The 24,770-nt window shown below is 46.0% G+C and overlaps 1 protein-coding gene and 1 pseudogene across 12 annotated transcripts, besides 2 other annotated features; one reads left to right on the forward strand and one right to left on the reverse strand.

Annotated features, from left to right (window-relative positions):
- Positions 1,075–1,178, reverse strand: RNU6-222P (RNA, U6 small nuclear 222, pseudogene; annotated as a pseudogene).
- FCAR (Fc alpha receptor) lies at positions 6,369–23,554 on the forward strand. 12 transcript variants are annotated; one of them, XM_047438406.1, is made up of 6 exons: positions 6,369–6,457; positions 7,401–7,499; positions 12,970–13,173; positions 17,369–17,659; positions 20,141–20,428; positions 21,783–23,554. In XM_047438406.1, the coding sequence occupies exons 4-6, from the start codon at positions 17,380–17,382 to the stop codon at positions 21,995–21,997; spliced, it is 783 nt and encodes a 260-aa protein (XP_047294362.1). In that variant the 5' UTR covers positions 6,369–6,457; positions 7,401–7,499; positions 12,970–13,173; positions 17,369–17,379; the 3' UTR covers positions 21,998–23,554. The 12 variants fall into 12 exon arrangements, with proteins under 12 accessions (XP_047294362.1, XP_047294363.1, XP_011524927.1 ...); XM_047438407.1 differs by having other exon boundaries at positions 7,464–7,499; XM_011526625.4 differs by lacking the exon at positions 12,970–13,173.
- Positions 7,673–7,873: a silencer, noted in NCBI's record as "peak3560 fragment used in MPRA reporter construct". NCBI's record gives its function as "represses an SCP1 promoter by STARR-seq MPRAs in K562 erythroleukemia cells {active_cell/tissue: K562}" and the evidence as "EXISTENCE:reporter gene assay evidence [ECO:0000049][PMID:32103011]".
- Positions 13,407–13,701: a silencer, noted in NCBI's record as "tiled region #15416; K562 Repressive DNase unmatched - State 4:PromP". NCBI's record gives its function as "represses a minimal TATA promoter and a strong SV40 promoter by Sharpr-MPRA in K562 cells {active_cell/tissue: K562}" and the evidence as "EXISTENCE:reporter gene assay evidence [ECO:0000049][PMID:27701403]".

Consider the following 24,770-nt stretch of genomic DNA (forward strand, 5'->3'; position numbering starts at 1 on the left):
GGACAACTGTATATAATTTTCATTCATCAATTTTATAAATAAATCATCAAAATGTATGATAATAAGATAAAAAATTAGCAGTGTTTTTATGGTGTGAAAATAAGCTTAGATTTATTTTTTCCTGCTTGTAACCCTCTGGTCCAATGTTATTTACTGAGAAGACATTCTATTCCACCTTAATCCGCATGGCAGCCTCTGTCAACTATAAAAGGACTGTGTGTACACAGATGTATTTTACACACTCTTTTCTGCTCAGTGGCTCTCTGTGTCCACTCTCATGAGGATGCTGCACTTTATGTGGCCTTATAGAACCCCTTAAAATTTGGCAGCCTGAATCCTCTAATTTCTCCTTCCTCTTTAAGATTGCCATTATTATTATTATTGGCTATTTGCTTTTCCATGTAAATTTGTAATCATTTTTCTCATTTCCACCAAAAACAATGCTTGTAATTTTGTTGTGACTCCCTTACATCTACAGGTAAGTTCTGTCCTATAGAAACATAATGCAAACCACATGCATTCTTTCAAACTTGCTAGTATCCAAATTAAAAAGCTAACAAGAAACAGATAAAATTAATTTAAGTTAACCCAATGGACCCAAAATATTATTAACCCAACAGACCCAAAATATTAACCTAATAGATCCAAAATATTATTTTATTATACAAGTAGACTCAAAATATTATCATTTCAACATGTAATCATGTGTCATCTTGGAAAACATCAGATCCCTGTCTAGGTGGGCAAAGATTTTTCTTCGTAATATCTCATTTCCACATTTCCACTTGGCACAGAAACTGCCCCCAAGGCTCAGGATACTAAGATGCAGTAGGAATGGGTAGATGTATCTGGAGGAAAGTGACTGAATGAAATTGAGACATCAGAGTCTGGGAAACTCACTAGAACTACAGGGACAGTGTGGGGGAGGGAATTGGGAGATGTTGATCAAAGGATACAAACTATCAGGTATTCAGGAGGAATGGGTCTGAAGATCTCTTGTACAGCTTTGCCACTATGGTTGACAATACTGTACTCTATACTTGAAATTTACCAGGAAAGTAGATTTTTTTTTTTAAATATGGAACACTTCACGAATTTGCGTGTCATTCTTGCGCAGGGGCCATGCTAGTTTTCTCTGTATCGTTCCAATTTTAGTATATGTGCTGCCGAGGCAAGCATGGGAGAGTAGATTTTTTTTTTTTTTTTTTTTTTTTTTGAGCTGGAGTCTTGCTCTGTCACCCAGGCTGGAGTGCAGTGGCGCGATCTCGGCTCACCGCAAGCTCCGCCTCCTGGGTTCACGCCATTCTCCTGCCTCAGCCTCCCGAGTAGCTGGGACTACAGGCGCCCGCCACCACGCCCTGCTAATTTTTTGTATTTTTAGTAGAGACGGGGTTTCACTGTGTTAGCCAGGATGGTCTCGATCTCCTGACCTCGTGATCCGCCTGCCTCGGCCTCCCAAAGTACTGGGATTACAGGCATGAGCCACCACGCCCGGCTGGGAGAGTAGATCTTAAGGGTCCTCACCACAAAAAAAAAAAAAAGAAAGAAAGAAAAAGAAACCATAGGCCGGGCGCGGTGGCTCACGCCTGTAATCCCAGCACTTTGGGAGGCCAAGACGGGCAGATCACTTGAGGTCAGGAGTTCAAGACCAGCATGGCCAACATGGTGAAACCCTGTCTCTACTAAAAATGCAAACATTAGCCAGGCGTGGTGACACAAGCCTGTAATCCCAGCTACTCAGGAGGCTGAGGCACGAGAATTGCTGGAACCTGGGAGCGGAGGTTGCAGTGAGCCAAGATGGCACCACTGCACTCTAGCCTGGGGGACAGAGTAAGACTTCCTCTCAAAAAAAAAAAAAAAAAAAAAACAATAACCCTGCGAGATGATGGATATAACTAGCTTGACTATGATGATCATGTCACCATGTATACATACATCAAAACATCAAGTGTAATACACCTTAAATATATACAATTTCCATTTGTCAATCATATCTCAATAAAGCTAAAAGAAACCTCTAAGTTTCAACTTTATTTTCAGAAAGCTGTGCCATGCTTACCTCAGTGCCTAAGTATACTCTAATTCATGGAAATGGCCTTTAAAACTGCAGAGAGTGGCTGGGTGCAGTGGCTCACGCCTATAATCCCAGCACTTTGGGAGGCGGAGGTGGGCAGATCACGAGGTCAGGAGTTCGAGATCAGCCTGGCCAACATGGTGAAACTCTGTCTCTACTAAAAATACAAAAAATAGCTGGGCATGGTGGCAGGTGCCTGTAAATCTGAGATACTCAGGAGGCTGAGACAGGAGAATCGTTTGAACTGGGGAGGCAGAGGTTGCAGTGAGCCGAGATCCTGCCATTGCACTCCAGCCTGGGCGACAGGGTGAGACTCCATCTCAAAAAAAAAAAAAATACTGCAGAGAGTTAAGGCCCTCACTGGACACTCTCCGGTACCTCTGAGGTCAGTGGATAGAGAAGCAGCTCCCCTTCTTCTTCCTCGAAACAAAGGCCTCCTTCCTTCTTAGGTGTTTGAGACAAATTCTCCACACAGGTGCAGCTGAGTGCTGTAAAGTCCCACTGAGAGTTGAAGGTCCCCACTGCCAGTCACAGTTCGGTCCCACTGAGGGTTGAAGGTCCCCACTGCCAGTCACAGTTTGGTCCCATTGAGGGTTGAGAGTCTCCACTGCCAGTCACAGTTTGGTCCCATTGAGGGTTGAGAGTCTCCACTGCCAGTCAGTTTGGGCTTATTAGGGTTTATGCTGTGCACGGAGAATGGAACCTACCAATCAACTCTTAGTGACCAGTTAGACAGATTCAAGGCAAATTTCCCTGCTGGGAAATCCCAAATCCCAAAATATGCAGAGACCAATAGATGCCTCAATTCTTCCGTGTCTCCGTCTAAATCCTTGGGTCACTGTGACTCCTGTAGTTATGTGGCTTGTAATTCCTTGGGCCGTAGAATGGCTATGATAGGCCCTGTGCTAAGGGGACTGGTGACAGTTGAGACAGGAACATGGAAGCTATAGTAGTCAGGGTTCTCCAGAAAAAAAAATAATCAACACTAATAATGATAGATATATAGATAATGATTGATAGACAAATAATGATAGATATATAATGATATCACAAATAATGATAGACATATAGTTGGATAATGACAGATATATAATGATTGATACACAGATAGGGTATTTATATATTGGCTTATGCAACTATGTAGACTGACAGGTCCCATGATCTGCCATCTGCAAGCTGGAGACCCAGGGGAGTCCACGTGTAGTTCCAGTCTACGTGCAAAAGTCTGAGAACCAGTAGAGTTAGTGGTATACGTAACAGTCCAAAAGCTAGCAGGCTCATGCCGGGCATGATGGCTCACGCCTGTAATCCCAACACTTTGGGAGACCAAGGCAGGCAGATCACCTGAGGTCAGAGTTCAAGACCAGCCCGGCCAACATGGTGAAACCCCATCTTTACTAAAAATACAAAAATTAGCCGGGCATAGTGGCATTCGCTTGTAATCCCAGCTACTCAGAGGCTGAGGTACGAGAATTGCTTGAACCCAAGAGGTGAAGGTTGCAGTGAGCCGAGATCATGCCACAGCACTCCAGCCTGGGTGACAGAGTGAGACTCTATCTCAAAAAAACAAACAAACAAAAAAAGCTGGCAGGCTTAACATCTAAAGAGTCAATGTTTTAGTGAGAGTTCAAGAGCCAGAAAAGACTGATGTCCAGGCAAAAGGAACTTCATCTTACATTACCAGTTCAATGTTTTGTTCTATTCAGGTCCCACCTGATTGAATGAGGCCGACTCACATTAGGGAGAGCAATCTGCTTTATAAATTACACTAATTCCATTGATAATCTCATTCAGCAACACCCCCACAGACACACACAGAATAATGTTTAACCAAATATCTCAGCACCCCATGGCTACGTTACCATTCCTGTTCCACAAAAGGAGGAAACAAAAGAACAAAACCACACCAAATGTTGTGGTAAGTTGACAAAATCTGTTCCAGCCCATTAGTAAATATTGGCCACTGAAGTTCCTGAAATTCAACAATTAGTAAGTATCTCTCTCCCAATAGAAAGCCACGTCATTTGTAAACCATAACAATAGCTTTTGTTTTTTTGAGACACAGTCTCGCTCTGTGTTGCCCAGGCTGGAGTGCAGTGATCTTGGCTCACTGCAACCTCTGCCTCCTGGGTTCAAGTGGCTCTCCTGCCTCAGCCTTCCGAGTAGCTGGAATTACAGGCACCCGCCACCACACCCAAGTAATTTTTTATATTTTTAGTAGAGACTGGGTTTCACCACATTGACCAGGCTGGTCTTAAATTCCTGAACTCAAGTGATTCACCTGCCTTGGCCTCCCAAAGTGCTGGGATTACAGGCATGAGCTACTGCACCCAGCCAACAATAGTATTTTTAATTAGGTCATCCTGCCTTTACAATCTCTGCATTTTAAATACTCAACTAAGAGTACAGCCATTATTTGTCTTTCACCCAAAGTCCCATTCAAGTGAGAACAAAGGAATGAATAAATAAGGCATAAGTAACAAAACAACAAAAAAAGAAAATTAGAATGCGGTCAATTTCATGCAATCATCAACACCAAATTTCCAGAACGTAGTATTTCCAAATTTCCCGAACGTAAATATGTATGTGGAAATTAACAAAATGTGGCAAAACAAAAGGTCACTTAAATTTGCACAAATGAAACAGTCAACATGGAAGCTGATCGGCTTTCTGAAATATGGGACAAGCTCAGGACTTCAAAATACTTCGGCGTTGGAAGGGCTAAGTTATGATGTATTAAAATGAAAATAAAGTGGGGCGCGGTGGCTCACGCCTGTAATCCCAGCACTTTGGGGGACCGAAGTGGGTGGATCACGAGGTCAGGAGATCGAGACCATCCTGGCTAACACGGTGAAACCCCGTTTCTACTGAAAATACAAAAAAAATTAGCCGGGCGTGGTGGCGGATGCCTGTAGTCCCAGCTACTCGGGAGGCTGAGGCAGGAGAATAGCATGAACCCAGGAAGTGGAGCTTGCAGTGAGCTGAGATCACGCCACTGCACTCCAGCCTGGGCGACAGAGCAAGACTCCGTCTCAAAAAAAAAAAAAGAATAAATAAAATAAAATAAAATAGTAGAAGGTTTAATTAGGAATATTTCACTCTCCATACCTGAAGAATTCGTGATAGCCAGGAGTCTACAATCAAAATAACATAAATAATAAGATAAAAATAAAATTAATTTGAAGCCATAAAAAAAGAATGAGTTCATATGTTTTGTGGAAACATGGATGGAGCTGGAGGCCATTATCCTTAGCAAACTATACAAGAACAGAACACCAAATACAGCAGGTTCTCACTTATAAGTGGAAGCTAAATAATAGAACTCATGAACACAAAAAAGGGAAAAACAGACAATGGGGTCTCCTTTAGGGTGGAGGGTGGGAGGCGGGAAAGGAGCAGGCAAAGTAACTATTAGGTACCAAGCTTATTACCTAGGTGATGAAATAATCTGTACAACAAACCCCCATGACACAAGTTTACCTGTATAACAAACCTTCCCATGTACCCTTGAACCTAAAATAAAAGTTAAAAAAATACTCAATGAGCAACAATGTACATTATTTGAGGATAATTATATTAAAAGCCCAGACTTCACCACTACACAAAATATCCACGTAATAAAATTTCACTTGCGCTCCTTAAATTTATACAAATAAACAAAAAAGTATAATAAAATAGTAGATTCTTTCTTTAGAGATGACAAATAGTGCCAGAGAAAATGCCTCCACACTCTGGCATTGAGATCATCTCCAGGATAAGGGTATACTGCATGCCTGGTCAAGTCCAAGTAAATATACTCAGACCATGAATCTCAGAGATGAAACATAGGTTCAGAACAGACAAAGCCACAGAGCTTTTGACTAATGGCCCAGTGAAGGCAATGTCTGCCTGTATGGTATCCACCACCTTATATTCTGTCCCAAGCCCGTCTATTTGGATGTAGCATCTGGTTCAAAGATGAATTTGAACACCATTAGACACTGGCTTAATGAAAATTCACTTCTCATTCGTTTCTCATCTGAAACATAAATAGAAATATAGGTCTTAGGCAGGAGGATTTCTTGATGCCAGAAGTTAGAGACTACCCTGGCCAACATAGAAAGACCCCATCTCTATTTAAAAAAATATACATATATATGTCTTCTCTTGGGCTCCACCCAAGAGCAACCTGGAACTAAGTTATTCGGCAACGAACTGTTCCACTTTGTTGTGAGGCAATAGATGTGGAAATTCCCTGACGAGGGGCTCTGTCCTCATACTTCCTGCGGAGCTTATTGTCGTAAGAATATCTGTCATCCTGCTAATGTGCATTGAAAGGAGAGCAACGGGGCTGAGGCCGTGTCAGCACGATGGACCCCAAACAGACCACCCTCCTGTGTCTTGGTGAGTTTCAGAGTAAAAGTGGGTTAGAGGGGAAGATAGAGAAATCCCAAAATAATCAGGGTGTCTCTTAACAGTGTGACTAGGAGATTTTAGTGGCTGCCAAGGAGATTCTGATCTCCTTAGTGGAAAGGCCGTCTTTGTCAATGTATCTATAACTTTGTCTCTACCCAAGCCCAAGCTAGCTTGTGGGGCTCAAGGTTTAATATTTGTATTAAACCTATAGTGTGTTATCTGGGATTCATGATGGTCCCAAGGTTCTTATCAAGGAGAGACTTAGAGGCTGGAATCTGAAAGGTAAAAATAAAGAATGAACCTCAAAACTGTGATTGTTGTGGAAGGAAAACATATGATAGAACCCCATATAGAAATATGGTTACTAGTATTTTGTTGAAGATTTTTGCATTTATGTTCAACAAAGATATTATCCAGAAGTTTTCTGTTTTTGTTGTATCTCTGCCACATTTTGTTATCAGGATAATGTTGGCCTCATAGAATGAGTTGGGGAGGAGTCCCTCCTCCAGGATTTTTTTCAATAGTTTCAGTAGGAATAATACTAGCTCTTCTTGGCCGGGCGCAGTGGCTCACACCTGCAATCCCAGCACTTTGGGAGGCCAAGGCAGGCGGATCACAAGGTCAGGAGATCAAAACCATCCTGGCCAACATGGTGAAACCCTGTCTCTACTAAAAATACAAAAAAATTAGCCAGGCGTGGTGGCGGGCGCCTGTAGTCCCAGCTACTCGTGCGGCTGAGGCAGGAGAATGGCATGAACCTGGGAGGCAGAGCTTGCAGTGAGCCAAGATCATGCCACTGCACTCCAGCTTGGGCGACACAGCGAGACTCTGTCTCAAAAAAAAAAAAAAATGCCAGCTCTTCTTTATATATCTGGTGGGATTGAGCTGTGAATCCATCTGGTACTGGTCTTTTTCTGGTCTGTCATTACAGAGGGTGATTTGTCGTAAAGGTTGGAAATGGAAGCTTGATTTTTCATAAATCTCTCTCTTCCAGTGCTCTGTCTGGGCCAGAGGATTCAGGCACAGGAAGGTAAGTGTCCTGTAAATCTCTCCCAGCCCCTTTAGACCCTCTTGGGAGCTCTAGGATAAAGAAATTGAAGAATAGCCTGAAGCACCATTCTTATTTTAATCCCCATTCTAGTTGTTTCTGCTGTGCTTCTCTTGCATAATTTCTATCTCACTTTGTTATCTCCAAACCCTTCAGACTCATTAATGCTCAGGCCTGGATTTATAGTTAGTCCTTGCCTGTGTTAGACTGTCCATGAAGGATCTGTAATTTACTGAATGCTCAAACTGCAAGAATGAGGAAGTCAGGAGTCATCTGCCCAATATCCTTCCTTATGCTGATTCTATTTTGTTTTAGCAACCCACTTCCTCCCGTCACTTCATTTAAAAGGATGCTGCCATAGTCTAACCCTACTGAACACTCTAGCATTCTGTAGTACTACTGCAGTACTAAGCATGAGGCAGTCTTAGTGTACTACTGAATATTCTGCCACCCCAACTACTACTGCCTTAGCCTCCTAATGGGTGTGAGCCCCACGTCCATCCATGTCTTCTCTCTTCCAGCTCCTTCTAAAGCCTGAATTATTTGTGTGTTGAACAATACTCATTCTTCCTATCCATGAGCATGGAATGTTTTTCCATTTGTTTGTGTCATCTATGATTTCTTTGACCAGTGTTTTGTAGTTCTCCTTGCAGAGATCTTTCACCTCCCTGGTTAGCTGTATTCCCAGGTATTTTATTCTTTTTGCAGTAATTGTGAATGGATTCTATTCTTGATTTGGCTCTCAGCTTAGATGTTTTTGGTGTATAGGAATGCTACTGATTTTTATATATTGATTTTGTATCCTGGAACTTTGCTAAAGTTGTTTATCAGATTAAGAAGTGTTTGGGCAGAGACTGTGGTTTTCTAGGTATAGAATCATATCACCTGCAAACAGGGATAGTTTGACTTCCTTTCTTCCTATTTGGATGCCTTTTATTTCTCTCTTGCCTGATTGCTCTAGCTAGGACCTCCAGTACTATGTTGAACAGAAGTAGTGAGAGACGGCATCCATGTCTTTTGCCAGTTTTCAAGGGGAATACTTCCAGCTTTTGCCCATTCAATATGATGTTGACTGTGAGTTTGTCATACATCATTCTTATTATTTTGAAATATGTTTCTTCAATGCCTAGTTTGTCGAGGTTTTTTAGCATAAAGGGATGTTGAATTTTATCAAAAGCTCTATTGAGAGGATTATGTGTGTGGGGAGGGTTGTTCTATTTATGTGATGAATCATATTTAAGATTTGTGTATATTGGCCGGGCACTGTGGCTCATGCCTGTAATCCCAGCACTTTGGGAAGCCAAGGCTTGTGGATCATGAGGTCAGGAGATCGACACCATCCTGGCTAACACGGTGAAACCTCGTCTATACTAAAAAACACAAAAAAATTAGCCAGGCGTGGTGGTGGGCACCTGTAGTCCCAGCTGCTCGGGAGGCTCAGGCAGGAGAATGGCGTGAATCCAGGAGGCGGAGCTTGCAGTGAGCCAAGTTCACGCCACTACACTCCAGCCTGGGCAACAGAGCGAGACTCCTATATCGAATCAACCTTGCATCCCAGAAATAAAGCCTACCTGATGGTGGTGGATTAGCTTTCTGATGTGCTGCTGGATAGTTTGCTAGTATTTTGTTGAGGATTTTTGCATTTATGTTCAACAAGGATATTGTCCTGAAGTTTTCTGGTTTTGTTGTGTCTCTGCCATGTTTTTGCATCAAGATGATGCTGGTCTCATAGAATGAGCTGGGGAGGCATTCCTCCTCCTGAATATTTTTGGAACGTTTCAGTAGGTATAGTACCAGCTCTTCTTTATATATCAGATGGGATTCAGCTGTGAGTCTGTCTGGTACTGGGCTTTTTCTGGTCTGTAGGATTTTTATTACTGATTCAATTTTGGAGCTCATTATTGGTCTGTTCATGTATTCAATTTATTCTTGGTTTGATCTCAGGAGGGTGTATGTGTCCAGGAATTTCTCCATTTATTCTGGATTTTCTAGTTTGTGTGCATAGAGGTGTTCATAATATTCTCTGATGATTGTATTTCTGTGGGGTGAGTGGTAATATACCCTTTGTTGTTTCTAATTGTGTTTATCCGGATCATCTCTCTTTTCTTCTTTATTAGTCTAACTAGTCATCTGTCTTACTAATTTTTTCAAAAATTCTACTCCTCGATTTGCTGATCTTCTGAATGCTTTTTCGTGTCTCAATCTCCTTCAGCTCAGCTCTGATTTTGGTTATTTCTTGTTTCCTATGAGCTTTGGGGTTGATTTCCTCTTGGTTCTCTTAGTTCCTCTTGTTATGATGTTAGGTTGTTAATTTGAACTTTTTCTAGCTTTTTGAAGTGGGAGTTTAGTGCTATAAACTTCCCCCTTAACACTGCCTTAGCTGTGTCCCAGAGATTCTGCTATATTTACCCAAAAATTCCAGAACAGACTGCTTAATTTCCATGCATTGTACAGTTTTGAGTGGTTTTCTTAGTATTTATTCCTATTTTTATTCCACTGTGCTCTGATTTCGCTTTTCTGGATTTGCTAAGGATTGTTTTTTTTTTTTTTGAAATGGAGTCTTGCTCTGTCGCCCAGGCTGGAGTGCAGTGGCGCAATCTAGGCTCACTGCAAGCTCCGCCTCCCAGGTTCACACCATTCTCCTGCCTCAGCCTCCTGAGTAGCTGAGACTACAGGTGCCCGCCACCCCGCCCGGCTAATTTTTTTTGTATTTTTAGTAAAGACGGGGTTTCACTGCGTTAGCCAGGATGGTCTCGATCTCCTGACCTCATGATCCGCCAGCCTTGGCTTCCCAAAGTGCTGGGATTACAGGTGTGAGCCACCGTGCCCAGCCTGCTAAGGATTGCTGTATGTCTGATTGTATGATTGACTTTAGAGTATGTGCCATGAGGCAATGAAAACAATGTAGATTCTGTTGTTTTGGGGGTGGAGAGTTCTGTAGATGTCTGTCAGGTCCATTTGATCCACTGCTGAGTTCAGGTCCTGAATATCTCTGTTTGCCTCAATGATCTAATACTGTCGGCGGGATGTTAAAGTCTCCCCCTATTATTGTGTGGTTGTCTAAGTCTCTTCGTTGGTCTCTCAGAACACGCTTTATGAATCCGGGTGCTTCCATGTTAGGTGCATATATATTTAGGATAGTTAGGTCTTCATGCTCTTTTTTTAATTTTTTTTTTCTTTTTCTTTTTGATTCAGCAGTTGGGCTATTACACACTCCTTAGCAGATTCCGACTTCCGTGGCCACTGTCCTGCTATGGTCTTCATGTTGAATTGAACCCTTTACCATGATTTAATGCCCTTCTTTGCCTTTTTTGATCTTTGTTGGTATAAAGTCTGTTTTGTCTGAAATTTTAATAGCAGCTCCTGCATTTTTTTTTTTTTTTGGCTTTCCATTTGCTTGGTAGATTTTTCTCCATTTCTTTACTTTGAGCCTATGGATGTCATTGCATATGAGATGGGTTTCTTATAGGCAGCATAATGTTGAGTCTTGCTTTTTTTTTTTTTTTTTTTTTTGAGATGGAGTCTCACTCTGTCACCCAGGCTGGAGTGCAGTGGTATGATCTTGACTCACTGCAACTTCTGCCTCCCAGGTTCAAATGATTCTCCTGCCTCAGCCTCCCAAATAGCTGGGATTACAGGTGTGTACCACCACGCCCAGCTATTTTTTTTTTTTATTAGAGATGGGATTTCATCACATTGGCCAGGCTAATGTCGAACTCCTGACCTCAAATGATCCACCCACCTCAGCCTCCCAAAGTGCCAGGGTTACAGGCGTGAGCCACTGCACCTGGCCTCTTGCTTCTTTATCCAACTTGCCACTCTCTGCATTTTAATTAGGACAATTAGTCCATTTACATTCAAAGTTAGCATTTACATGTGCAGATTTTTTCCTGTCATCATGTTGTTAGCTGGTTTGGTTATTATGCAGACTTGTTTGTGTGGTTGTTTTATAGTGTCACTGGTTTATGTACGTAAGTGTGTTTTCTATTGGCTGGTGATGGTCTTTTCTTTCCATATTTAGCGTTCCTCTTAGGACCTCTTGTAAGGCAGGCCTGATGGTAATAAATTCCCTCAGCATTTGCTTGTCTGTAAAGGATCTTATTTCTCCTTCACTTATGAAACTTAGTTTGGCTGGGAATGAGATTCTTGGTTGGAAATTCTTTTCATAAGAACATTAAATATAGGCCCCCAATCTCTTCTGGATTGTAGAGTTTCTGCTGAAAGGTCTGCTGTTAGCTCGATGGCATTCCCTTTGTAGGTGACCTGCCCCTTCTTTTTTGCTGCCTTTTCACATTTTTTTTTTTTTTTTTGAGACTGAGTCTTGCTCTGTTGCCCAGGCTGCCAGGCTGGAGTGCAATGGCGTGATCTCGGCTCACTGCAAGCTCCGCCTCCCGGATTCACGCCATTCTCCTGCCTCAGCCTCCCCAGTAGCTGGGACTACAGGTGCCCACCACCACGCCCAGCTAATTTTTTATATTTTTTTAGTAGAGATGGGGTTTCACCATGTTAGCCAGGATGGTCTCAATCTCCTGACCTCGTGATCCGCCCGCCTTGGTCTCCCAAAGTGCTGGGATTACAGGCGTGAGCCACCGCGCCCGGCCGACATTTCTTTCTTTCATTTCTACCTTGAAGAATCTGATGATTTTGTGTCTTGGGGATGCTCTTCTTGTGTAGTATTTTGCAGGGGTTCTCTGTTTCCTGCATTTGATTCTTGGCCTCTCTAGTGACGTTGGGGAAGTTTTCATGAACAATACACTGAAATATGTTTTCCATGTTCCTTGCTTTCTCCCCATCTCTTTCGGGGATGCCAATGGGCTATTTGGTCTCTTTTCATGATCCCATATTTCTTAGAGGTTTTGTTCATTAATTTTTATTCTTTTTCTTCATTTTTGTCTGACTGAATTAGTTCAGAGAGCCAGTATTCATGCTCTGAGATTCTTTCCTTATTTTGCTTTATTTTGCCATTAATACTTGTGATCGCATTATGAAATCTCGTAGTGTGTTTTTCAGCTCCATCAGATCCGTTTGGTTCTTTCAAAATGACCATCTCATAGATTAGCCCCTCTGTCATTTTATTGTAATCTTTAGGTTCCTTGCATTGGGTTTCAACTTTCTCCTGAATCTTGATGACCTTAATTTCTATCCATATTCTGAATTCTATTTCTGTCATTTCAGCCAGGTAAAGAGCCCTTGCTGGGAAGCTTGTGTGGTAATTTGGAGGAAGGAAGACACTGTTGCTTTTTGAGTTGATGGAGTTCTTGCTCAGTTCTTTCTCATCCATGTGGGCTAATGTTCCTTTGAGTGTGCTGCAATTTGAATTTTTTTCTTTTTTCTTTTAACCGTGATGTAATTTGAGCACAGTCAGTAGACTTCTTTTCTGGATGGTTTCAGAGGGCTGGGGCTTCGCACAGGGTCTTTATTTATAGCTAAATTCTTGTCCTTGGTTTCACAGGGAGGTATATTAGCGAGCATTTTTGGTGTTGAAGTTTGGGCTGCAATCCGGTAAATGATGCTTCAGCACAACGGCCAGTAGGTCATTCCTCATGATTGCCGCTGTGCTCCCTCTCACGCTCTGAAAGTGCGGGCTCCTCTCCCACCCAAGTGCTGGCTGCAGATCTGGGCTCGGCACTCCCAGGCTGCACATCACAGCTCTGGGGTGAGCTCAGACTTTATGTTCCCTCCGTGGCTTGGGGGCAGCAGGGGAAGGGACCTTAGCAGCGGTTGTGGCAGACGGCCTTTCACTTGTCCCTTGGAACTCCACCCCAGAGAGATGTGGAGCCACTATCAGTGCGATGAGCCAAGAGTGAGGCGACTGCACTGTGGGTCCAAGCTAGGGGCCCTGCCTAGTGATGAGCAGGGGGGACAGGTGGGTCACAGGGGTGACAGACTGGCCTCTTCTCCTTAGGGCAGTTTGCCGGAGGTGTGGTTGAAGCACTCAGAGTCTTTGCTCCTTCCCCAGTCTGAGGGCAGCAAGGCCAGTACCACCGCAGTGGCAGCGGCAGAGTGACCTTCCGTTGCCTCTGGGAGCTCCGCCACAGAGAAACGCAGACTCACAGCTGCTGGGAACGCTCCGCCAGAGGGTGGGGCTGTTGTGCCGCGGAATCAAGCTGGGGCTTGTTGAAGAGCAGGGGGTTGAGGGCTCACAGGGAGAGGAGACTGAGCTCCTCTCCGTATGGCGACTGCGGTGTGCTGGAAGCATGAATGAAGGCCGGGCGCGGTGGACTCACGCCCGGAATCCCAGCACTTTGGGAGGCCGAGGCGGGCGGATCACGAGGTCGGGAGATCGAGACCATCCTGGCTAATCTGGTGAAACCCCGTCTCTACTGAAAACACAAAAAATGAGCCGGGCGTGGTGGCGGGCGCCTGTAGTCCCAGCTACTCGGGAGGAGGATGAGGCTGAGGCAGGAGAATGGTGTGAACCCGGGAGGCGCAGCTTGCAGTGAGCCGAGATCGGGCCACTGCACTGCAGCGTGGGCGACAGAGCGAGACTCCGTCTCAAATAAATAAATAAATAAATAAATAAATAAATAAATAAATAAATAAATAAATTGAAGCATGAATGAAGGCCCCAGGCTCCTTGCTTCTTCCCCAGATCACGGGCAGCAGAGGCAGAACCCTTGCCATGGCAGTGGCAGAGGGGCTGTCAGTTGCCTCTGGGAGCCACTCCCCAGGGAAACACGAGCCACCACCAGTGAGTGTGCTGAGGGCGGGGCAGCTGCTCTGCACTCCCGAGCTGGGGGCTCTGCCTGGTAAAGTGGGGGTGGGAGCTCACGGGGAAGAGAGACTGGACTCCTCTCTGTCTGATGGCTGTGGCATAATGACCGGGCCCCCACACATGAAAAAGAATTCTGGGAACTCAAAAAGCCAGTGTGTCCCCACCATGGACCCCTTGGATTGTGTTTCAAATTTCTCCTCAATTTCGAAGAGCGTCCTGGCCATCCAGATTCTGAATTCTATAACCCTCGTTTCATTCATCTCAATGTAGCTAAGAACCAGATTTCTGGGGAACTATCGAGTTGCCAGAGTTCTTGTGTTGATTCTTTTTTTTTTTTCTTTTTTTTTTCTTTTTTGTGGCAGAGTCTTACTCTGTCGCCCAGGCTGGAGTGCAGTGGCACGATCTCAGCTCACTGCTGCAACCTTCACCTCCCGGGTTCAAGCGATTCTCCTGTCTCAGCCTCCTGAGTAGCTGGGATTACAGGTGTGTGCCACCACGCCCGGCTAATTTTTGTATGTTTAGTAGAGCCCGGGTTTTGTCACGTTGGTCAGGCTGGTCTCAAACTCTTGACCTCCGGTGATCTGCCCACTTCAGCCTCCCAAAGTGCTGGGATTACAGGTGTGAGCCACCGCGCCCGGCCTTGGTGTTGATTCTTTCTCTTGTGTGAGGGCTGGTGTTCCTTTAACTGTGATGTCGGTTGAGTACAGTCGCTTGGCTTCATTTCTGGGTGTTTTCAGATGCCAGGACTCTGCACAGGATCTTTATTTGTGGCTGAATTTTTCCCTTCATTGTATACTGGCAAAATTTTTCAGTGTTGTATTTTGAAGTGTGATCCAGTAGGTGGCACTTAAAAGGGTTGGCCAGCATACAGGATCTTAGCCACAAGGCTCTTTTGTAGTTTTGTTTCGTTTTTTGTTTCGTTTTTTGACACAGGGTCTTGTTCTGTCGCCCAGGCTGGAGCACAGTGGCACAATCTCGGCTCACTGCAGCCTCTACCTATCAGGCTAAGTGATCCTCCTGCCTCAGCCTCCTGAGTAGCTGGGACTACAAGCACGCAGCACCATAAAGAGAAAATTTTTGTAATTTTTTTTTTTTTTTTGTAGAGATGGGGTTTCACCATGTTTACCAGGCTGGTCTCAAACTCCTGGGCTCAAGCAATCTGCCTGCCTTGGCCCCCTAACTCTTGTATTTTGACAAAGTCGGCAGTAGTGCTCTGTGGTTGTGAGGAGGGGTGACTCCCTCGCCTGGTCCATTCTTGGGCCTTGGAGGAGCCTCCTACAGTCACTGGCTCTGCACCCACTGTTTCCTTTGTTAGGATTGTTCTGCCCACGGGGCTCCCTCAGGCAGGGCATGGTGGGCAGACAGGCTGTATCCTTCCCCGGCCAGCCCTATGGAGGGAGGACCACCCCGCACCTCTGCAGGCTGATGAAATCAGGTGTTTCACCCCTCTGAACGTTCTGAGAATGAGGGCTCCTCACGGCTTGGTCGCCACCTAACGTGGTGAGTCCTTCTCAGCAAGGGTGATTGGAGCCACATGATCTGCCATCTCAGTGCTTCCCAGGGGAACACAGAGCTACTGGGCATGGTGGCTCACACGTGTAATCCCAGTACTTTAGGAGGCCGAGATGGGCAGATTGCGAAGTCAGGAGACTGAGACCATCCTGGATAACATGGTGAAACCCCGTCTCTACTAAAAATACAAAAAAAAATTAGCCAGGCGTGGTGGCGGGCGCCTGTAGTCCCAGCTACTCGGGAGGCTGAGGCAGAAGAATGGTGTGAACCCGGGAGGCGGAGCTTGCAGTGAGCCAAGATCACACCACTGCACTCCAGCCTGGGCAACAGAGTGAGACTTCATCTCAACAAAAAAAGAAAAGAAAAGAAAAACACAGAGCTGCACACCCCACAGAGTTCAGGCAGAAGGGGGTCTGCAGCGCTGGAAGACCCAGCAAGCCTGGCCCGTCTGGCTGCAAGTGGCAGGGGTGGGTGGAGTCACCCACTTCACCATCTGGGTGCTTTCCAGGGAAGCATGCAGCCACGACCCCGGGCAGAGTTCAGGCAGAAGCTGGGCCACTATGCTGGAAACTGGCCTTGAGCCTTGTGGAGTAACGGCAGGTGGAGCCATCTCACTGCTCCCACGCACCATGCCCGTGGCCTCTGCGGGGGCTGTGGTAACGGCACCCGACTGCTCTGGGGTCAATGCCTGCGGAGGTCCCCCTGGCTTCAGTGTTGCCTCTGCAAAAACCCCAGTTGCAGCCAGGTGCGGTGGCTCACGCTTGTAATCCCAGCACTTTGGGAGGCCGAGGCAGGTGGATCACTTGAAGTCAGGAGTTCAAGACCAGCCTGGCCAACATGGTGAAACCCCGTTTCTACTAAAAATACAAAAATTATCCAGGCATGGTGGTGGGCACCTGTAATCCCAGCTACTCGGAAGGCTGAGGCAGCAGAATTGCTTGAACCCGGGAGGCGGAGGAGCTGAGATTGCACCACTGCACTGCAGCCTGGGCGACAAAACAAGACTCTGTCTCGAAAAATAATAACAATAAAAAATAAAGATGGCAACCATAGACACTGGAGACTACTAGATGGGGGGGAAGAAAGGGGGTTGAAAAACTGCCTATTGGGTACTATGCTCAGTACCTGGGTGACAGGATCAATCGTACTCCAAACCTCAGCATCACAAATTATTTAAATTTTTCTCTTTTTTTAATTTTTTTGTTGTTGTTGTTGAGACGAAGTCTCACTCTGTTGCCCAGGCTGGAGTGCAGTGGTGTGATCTCGGCTCACTGCAAGCTCTGCCTCCCAGGTTCACGCCATTCTCCTGCCCCAATCTCCCGAGTAGCTGGGACTACACGCGCCCGCCACCACGTCCTGCTAATTTTTTGTATTTTCAGTAGACACGGGGTTTCACCGTGTTAGCCAGGATGGTCTTGATATCGTCACCTTGTGATCCACCCGCCTCGGCCTCCCAAAGTGCTGGGAATACAGGCGTGAGCTACCGCACCCGGCCTAAATTTTTTTTTAAATAAAGAATGGTAGGTTCTTCACACCCTAATGTATTTTTACTTCTCCCACAGAGAAGGAAAGGAATGGCTTCCCCATGGCAAGCCACCTCAGTCTGGGCTTTCTTTTCTTCCAGGGGACTTTCCCATGCCTTTCATATCTGCCAAATCGAGTCCTGTGATTCCCTTGGATGGATCTGTGAAAATCCAGTGCCAGGCCATTCGTGAAGCTTACCTGACCCAGCTGATGATCATAAAAAACTCCACGTACCGAGAGATAGGCAGAAGACTGAAGTTTTGGAATGAGACTGATCCTGAGTTCGTCATTGACCACATGGACGCAAACAAGGCAGGGCGCTATCAGTGCCAATATAGGATAGGGCACTACAGGTTCCGGTACAGTGACACCCTGGAGCTGGTAGTGACAGGTAAGGAAACATCCAGGGTCCACAGCCCTGGTGTGATTTTTTTCTTATTTTTAATAGAGTATTTTTCAAGAAGTTTTAGATTTACAAACAAAAAAAAATTGATGATTGCTTCAGAGAGTTCTCAGCCATCTGGCACCCCACTTCCCCCAGAGTTAACATCTTACATTAGTATGGCACATTTCTTACCATTAATGAACAAATATCGACACATTCCCAGCTACAGTCTACAGTTTATTTACATTTTCTTAGTTTTTACCTGATAGTCTTTCTCTGTTCCAGGATCCCATTCAAGATTTCACATTGCGGCTGGGAGTGGTGGCTCACGCCTGTAATCCCAACACTTAGGGAAGCCGAGGCGGGTGGATCACCCAAGGTCAGGAGTTCGAGACCAGCCTGGCCAACATGGTGAATTCCCCGTCTCTACTGAAAATGCAACAATCGCTGGGCGCGGTGGCTCACGCCTGTAATCCCAACACTTTGGGTGGCTGAGGTGGGTGGATCACCTGAGGTCAGGAGTTCGAGACCAGCCTGGCCAACACAGTGAAACCTCGTCTCTACTAAAAATGGAAAAAATTGGCCAGGCCTGGTGGCACACGCCTGTAATCCCAGCTACTTGGGAGGCTGAGGCAGGAGAATCGCTTGAACCCAGGAGGCAGAGGTTGCAGTGAGCCAAGATCACACCACTGCACTCCAGGCTGGGCGACAGGGCGAGACTCCATCTCACACACACACACACAAAAAGATTTCACATTGCATTCAGGTGTCATGTATCTTTATTTTTTTTTTTTTTTTTTTTTTTGAGATGGAGTCCCGCTGTGTTGCCCAGGCTGGAGTGCAGTGGCACAATCTCGGCTCACTGCAAGCTCCAACCTCCCGGGTTCACGCCATTCTCCTGCCTCAGCCTCCCGAGTAGCTGGGACTACAGGCGCCCGCCACCACGCCTGGCTAATTTTTTGTATTTTTAGTAGAGATAGGGTTTCACTGTGTTAGCCAGGATGGTCTCAATCTTCTGACCTCGTGATCCGCCCGCCTGGCCTCCCAAAGTGCTGGGATTACTGGCGTGAGCCACCACGCCCGGCCCCCGAAAATGCTGGGATTACAGGCATGAGCCACCGCACCTGGCCTCCCAAAGTGCTGGGATTCCAGGCGTGAGCCACCGTGCCCGGCAGGTGTCATGTATCTTTAGGTTTGTCTTGGCTGTCACAGCTTCTCAGATGTTGCTGGTTTTCCATGACCTTGTCAGTTTTGAGGGTAGTGGTCCATTATTTTCAAGGGTACTCCCACTACTGGAAATTGTCCGATGTTTTGCTCATGACTAGACTGAGTTATGGGTCATTGCAGGCAAGACCACAGAAGCAAAGTGCCATTTCATCTCCTCATAGCAAAGGTTTAAACTGTCCATGGGAACATGACTGTGGATGTTGAGCTGGCTGTTGTTGAAAGCCTGGCTGAAGTAGTAACTGTGGCCAGACACCGTGGCTCGTGCCTGTAATCCCAGCACTTTGGGAGGCTGGGCGCCGTGGCTCACGCCTGTAATCCCAGCACTTTGAGAAGCCGAGATGGGCAGATCACTTAAGCCCAGGAGACCAGCCTGGGCAACATAGTAAGACCCCATCTGTACAAAAAATCAAAAAATTAGCTGGGCATGGTGGCACCCACCTGTAGTCTCAGTTACTTGAGAGGCTGAGATGGTAGGATCACCTGAGCCTGGGAGGTCGAGGCTGCAGTGAGCCGTGATTATGCCACTGCCCTCAGCCTGGGCGACAGAGTGAGACCCTCTCTAAAATAAATAAATTCTAAAAAAGAAAAAAGAGGCTGGGCACTGTGGTTCACGCCTGTAATCCCAGCACTTTGGGAGGCTGAGGCAGGTGGATCACCTGAGGTCAGGGATTCAAGACCAGCCTGACCAACATGGAGAAACCTCATCTTTACTAAAAATACAAAAATTAGCTGGGCGTGGTGGCGGGTGCCTGTAATCCCAGCTACTCGGGAGGCTGAGGCAGGAGACTCACTTGAACCTCGGAGGTGGAGGTTGCAGTGAGCTGAGATCGTGCCACTGCACTGCAGCCTCAGTGACAGAGTGAGACTCCATCTCAAAAAACAATAATAGGCTGGGCACAGTTGCTCATGCCTGTAATCCCAGCACTTTGGGAGGCCAAGGTGGGCAAATCACCTGAGGTCAGGAGTTCGAGACCAGCCTGACCAACATGGAGAGACCCCGTCTCTACTAAAAATACAAAAATTAGCTGGGCGTGGTGGTACGCACCTGTAATCCCAGTTTCTCGGGAGGCTGAGGCAGGAGAATTGCTTGAACCCGGGAGACGGAGGTTGCAGTGAGCTGAGATCACGCCACTGCACTCCAGCTTGGGCAATAAGAGCGAAACTCCATCTCAAAAAAATATATAATAATAACAATAATAAGAAGAAGAAAAGAATAAAGGAGAAAAGGTCTTTCTAATAGCTCACTCTTTTCTCTCTTAGGCTTGTATGGCAAACCCTTCCTCTCTGCAGATCGGGGTCTGGTGTTGATGCCAGGAGAGAATATTTCCCTCACGTGCAGCTCAGCACACATCCCATTTGATAGATTTTCACTGGCCAAGGAGGGAGAACTTTCTCTGCCACAGCACCAAAGTGGGGAACACCCGGCCAACTTCTCTTTGGGTCCTGTGGACCTCAATGTCTCAGGGATCTACAGGTGCTACGGTTGGTACAACAGGAGCCCCTACCTGTGGTCCTTCCCCAGTAATGCCTTGGAGCTTGTGGTCACAGGTAGGTACCGCCCAGTCCAGCCCTGTGTCTGGGTTGGCTGTCCAGGGCCTTGCCACCGGGCAGGAATATGAAGACGTGCACTGAGAGTGAAGTGAAGAGAGGCAAAGGCTCTCACTCCAGGACAGTGGAGAGAGAAAGGCTTCCCCACCACACTTTCCGCTTTCACTTCCTCGCTAGAGTTCTCCAGACAGGGTTCATTGAAAACTTAGTCTGTGGAGAACAGAAGGGCTAACTCAGTTTGTTTCATTTTATTTATTTCATTTTATTTTCCGGGATAGAGTCTTGCTCTTTCGCCAAGGCTGGAGTGCAGTGGCACGATCTCGACTCACTGCAACCTTCGCCTCCCAGGTTCAAGCAATTCTCCTGCCTCAGCCTCCTGAGTAGCTGGGACCACACAGACAGGGTTTCACCATGTTGGCCAGGCTGGTCTCGAACTCCCGACCTCAGGTGATCCACCTGCCTCGGCCTCCCAAAGTGCTGGGATTACAGGCGTGAGCCACCGCGCCTGGCCAGGCTGCACACATTCTTATTAGGATTCCACCTTGTTCTGGTGTTGTAGAGATGTGATTAGGTATTTAGTGAATTCACCAAGTGAGGAGAGAATGAAAAGAAAACACAACCTGCCTGGCCGGGCGTGGTGGCGTGAGCCTGTCGTCCCAGCTACTCAGGAGGCTGAGGCAGGAGAATCACTTGAACCCAGGAGGCAGCTGTTGCAGTGAGCCAAGATCACGCCATTGCACTCCAGCCTGGGTGACAGAACGAGACTCCACCTCAAGAAAAAAAAAAAAAACATGGTTGGGCACGATGGCTCACGCCTGTAATCTGAGCACATTGGGAGGCTGAGGCAGGTGGATCACCTGAGGTCGGGAGTTCGAGACCAGCCTGGCCAACATAGTGAAACCCCATCTCCACTAAAAATACAAAAATTAACCAGGCGTGGTGGTGGTGGGCGCCTGTAATCCCAGCTACTTGGGAGGCTGAGGCAGGAGAATCACTTGACCAGGGAGGCGGAGGTTGCAGTGAGCCGAGATCACGCCACTGCACTCCAGCCTGGGCAACAGAGTGAGACTCCATCTCAAAAAAAAAAAAAAAAAAAAACACACACAACCTGCCCATAATCACCTCCTTCCCAGTTTATAGCACTTCCCTGGGAAGCACAGTTCCTTGCCCGTGAACACAGTCTTGCTGACTGATCAGTGTGGTGCTGGCGAAGCATGAGCTCATTGAGGGGATGCTTGAGGGAGTCCCATTTTGGCAAGCGAAAAGGAAAATGAGCTCCCGTTTCAGGGCTCTGGGGTTGGGATGGAATGGAACACAACCACCAACCATTCATCTCCTTGAATTGTGTCTCCAGACTCCATCCACCAAGATTACACGACGCAGAACTTGATCCGCATGGCCGTGGCAGGACTGGTCCTCGTGGCTCTCTTGGCCATACTGGTTGAAAATTGGCACAGCCATACGGCACTGAACAAGGAAGCCTCGGCAGATGTGGCTGAACCGAGCTGGAGCCAACAGATGTGTCAGCCAGGATTGACCTTTGCACGAACACCAAGTGTCTGCAAGTAAACACCTGGAGGTGAAGGCAGAGAGGAGCCAGGACTGTGGAGTCCGACAAAGCTACTTGAAGGACACAAGAGAGAAAAGCTCACTAAGAAGCTTGAATCTACTTTTTTTTTTTTTTGAGACAGAGTCTGGCTCTGTCACCCAGGCTGGAGTGCAGTGGAGCAATCTCGGCTCATTGAACCTCTTGGGTTCAAGTGATTCTTGTGCCTCAGCCTCCCAAGTAGCTGGAATTACAGGCACATACCACTGCACCCAGCTAATTTTTGTATTTTTAGTAGAGATGGGGTTTCACTGTGTTGGCCAGGCTGGTCTCGAACTCCTGACCTCAGGTGATCCACCCACCTTGGCCTCCCAAAGTGCTGAGATTATAGGCATGAGCCACCACGCCTGGCCAGATGCATGTTCAAACCAATCAAATGGTGTTTTCTTATGCAGGACTGATCGATTTGCACCCACCTTTCTGCACATAAGTTATGGTTTTCCATCTTATCTGTCTTCTGATTTTTTATATCCTGTTTAATTTCTTCCTTCATTGTTCTTCTCTTTTTTTATTTATTTTATTTATTTTTATTTTTATTTTTATTTGAGACAGAGTCTCACTCTGTTGCCCAGGCTGGAGTGCAGTGGCACGATCTCGGCTCACTGCAACCTCTGCCTCCTGGGTTCAAGTGATTCTCCTGCCTCGGCCTCCCAAGTAGCTGGGATTGCAGGCTCCCACCATCACGCCCAGCTACTTTTACAGTATTTTTAGTAGAGACGGGGTTTCATCACATTGGCCAAGCTGGTCTCAAACTTCTGACCTCGTGATCTGCCCGCCTCGGCCTCCCAAAGTGCTGGGATTACAGATGTGAGCCACTGCGCCCAGCCTTCTTTTTATATTTTTAAATGTGTCTTCCCCAAATATAAATGGTTGGTAAGCATGCCAAATATATTCAATAACCCCCCTCCTTTATTTTTTTTTGTTGAAGTGAGGCTCTCCCTATGTTGCCTAAGCTGGTCTTGAACTCCTGGTCTCAAGCAATCCTCCTACCTCAGCCTCCTGCTGTGTTCATCTACAAATTGATAAGAGTGAAAGTCATAATCCTACAGGAGGATTACCCTATTTATTTCACAAACCCTATTTCTACCGGATTTTCATACAAGGAATACAGGCATGTGTTTCACCTCATTAATTTATTTTTTCACTTAGTTTTGATGATATTCACATATATTATCAAGTGTGCAAACATTAAATTCTTGTGTACAAAACTCAAATGGTCTTCCAAATAATTCCCCATTCTTTTTTCTTATAAACTTTCACAGCTTTACCCTTGACAGACTTTACTCAAGGAAATCTAAGTTGGTCATATGTGGCTCTTTCACTGATTGCTATTTACTTCATTGTCCAGTAGCTTATGTATGAAAATATAATTATAAAATGTAAGGGTCCTACTTCCAGTGAAACTGAAGGGACTTAGGCCCACTTTTATCCTTTACTGAGAGCTTATCTCTACTTGATAAAATTTCTACTGTATTCTTGGCTTAACTCAGGTCCTGTGATTAAAAAAAAAATGCAAAGTATTTCTAACTTTCTTTATTGACTGCTTTTCACACTTTATACAAGTTCTGGCCCATATCTTCAGTTTGTTCTGATTTTTTTCACCAGGTGTGGTGGCAGGTGCCTGTAGTCCCAGCTACTCCAGGGGCTGAGGCAGGAGAATGGCGTGAACCTGGGAGGCGGGGCTTGCAATGAGCTGAGATCACGCCACTACACTCCAGCCTGGGCCACAGAGCGAGACTCCGTCTCAAAAGTAAACAAACAAATAAATAATAAATAAATAAATAAAGGGAAAGTGCCACAATTTTGGATGAAGGGGGTTGAGGGACTTTACGTCAGGTCCAGGACTTGGATTACAGAGACACAATGGGGCTAGATTCCCAGAGATGGATAAGATTAAACTCATATAAGTCGTTTTGCTGACAGAAGGACCTTGTTTGGAAAAAGCGTTTTCAGAATAATAAAGTTCCTGAGCTCTTCAGAAAAGTATTTTATTGTCCTGTAACCACAGTAACAAGTAGCCACCAAAACTGATTTTTAACCCATCATCAATGACAACTCATCTCTGTGAAGATGCTCTTTTTTTTTTTTTTTTTTTTTGAGACGGGGTCTTGCTCTGTCACCCAGGCTGGGGAGCAGTGACGTGACCTCGGCTCCCTGCAACCTCTCTTTCCCGGGTTCAGCAATTCTCCTGCCTCAGCCTCCCCAGTAGCTGGGATTATAGGCACCTGCCACCACACGCAGATAATTTTTGTATTTTTAGTACAGACGGGTTTCGCCATGTTGGCCAAGCTGGTCACAAACTTCTGACCTCAGGGTGATCTGCCTGCCTCAGCCTCTCAAAGTGCTGGGATTACAGGAGTGAGCCACAAAGCCCGGCCACTCCATACGTTTTATATTGTTATGTTACCATCAGTCAGGCAGCTCCTTGCTTCTAAAAGTCATCCAATCAGACTCATTTCAGTAAACACCCAAGCATGAGTGACAACCAATCAAAGTAATATCTTCCCAATGACCACACTTTTCCAGATGACGTCAAGCCACAGAAGGCCCTGAAAATCCAACAATCTCTGAAGTATACATTTCCCAGGCTGAGCGCAGTGGCTCACACCTGAAATCCCAGCACTTTGGGAGGCTAAGGCAGGCAGATCACGAGGCCAGGAGTTCGAGACCAGCCTGGCCAACATGGCAAAACCCCGTCTCTACTAAAAATACAAAAATTAGCCAGGTGTGGTGGCA

The sequence above is a fragment of the Homo sapiens genome, chromosome 19 (genome assembly GCF_000001405.40).
Source record: "Homo sapiens chromosome 19, GRCh38.p14 Primary Assembly".
NCBI classification, from domain to species: domain Eukaryota; kingdom Metazoa; phylum Chordata; class Mammalia; order Primates; family Hominidae; genus Homo; species Homo sapiens.

Bases quoted from the DNA above. Each gene is read 5' to 3' on its own strand.
- FCAR (NM_002000.4), top strand. From the start codon at position 6,424: ATGGACCCCAAACAGACCACCCTCCTGTGTCTTG. The intron at 6,458-7,463 runs GTGAGTTTCAGA...TCTCTCTTCCAG, and splicing joins GACCACCCTCCTGTGTCTTG to TGCTCTGTCTGGGCCAGAGG. The intron at 7,500-17,368 runs GTAAGTGTCCTG...CTTTTCTTCCAG, and splicing joins GAGGATTCAGGCACAGGAAG to GGGACTTTCCCATGCCTTTC.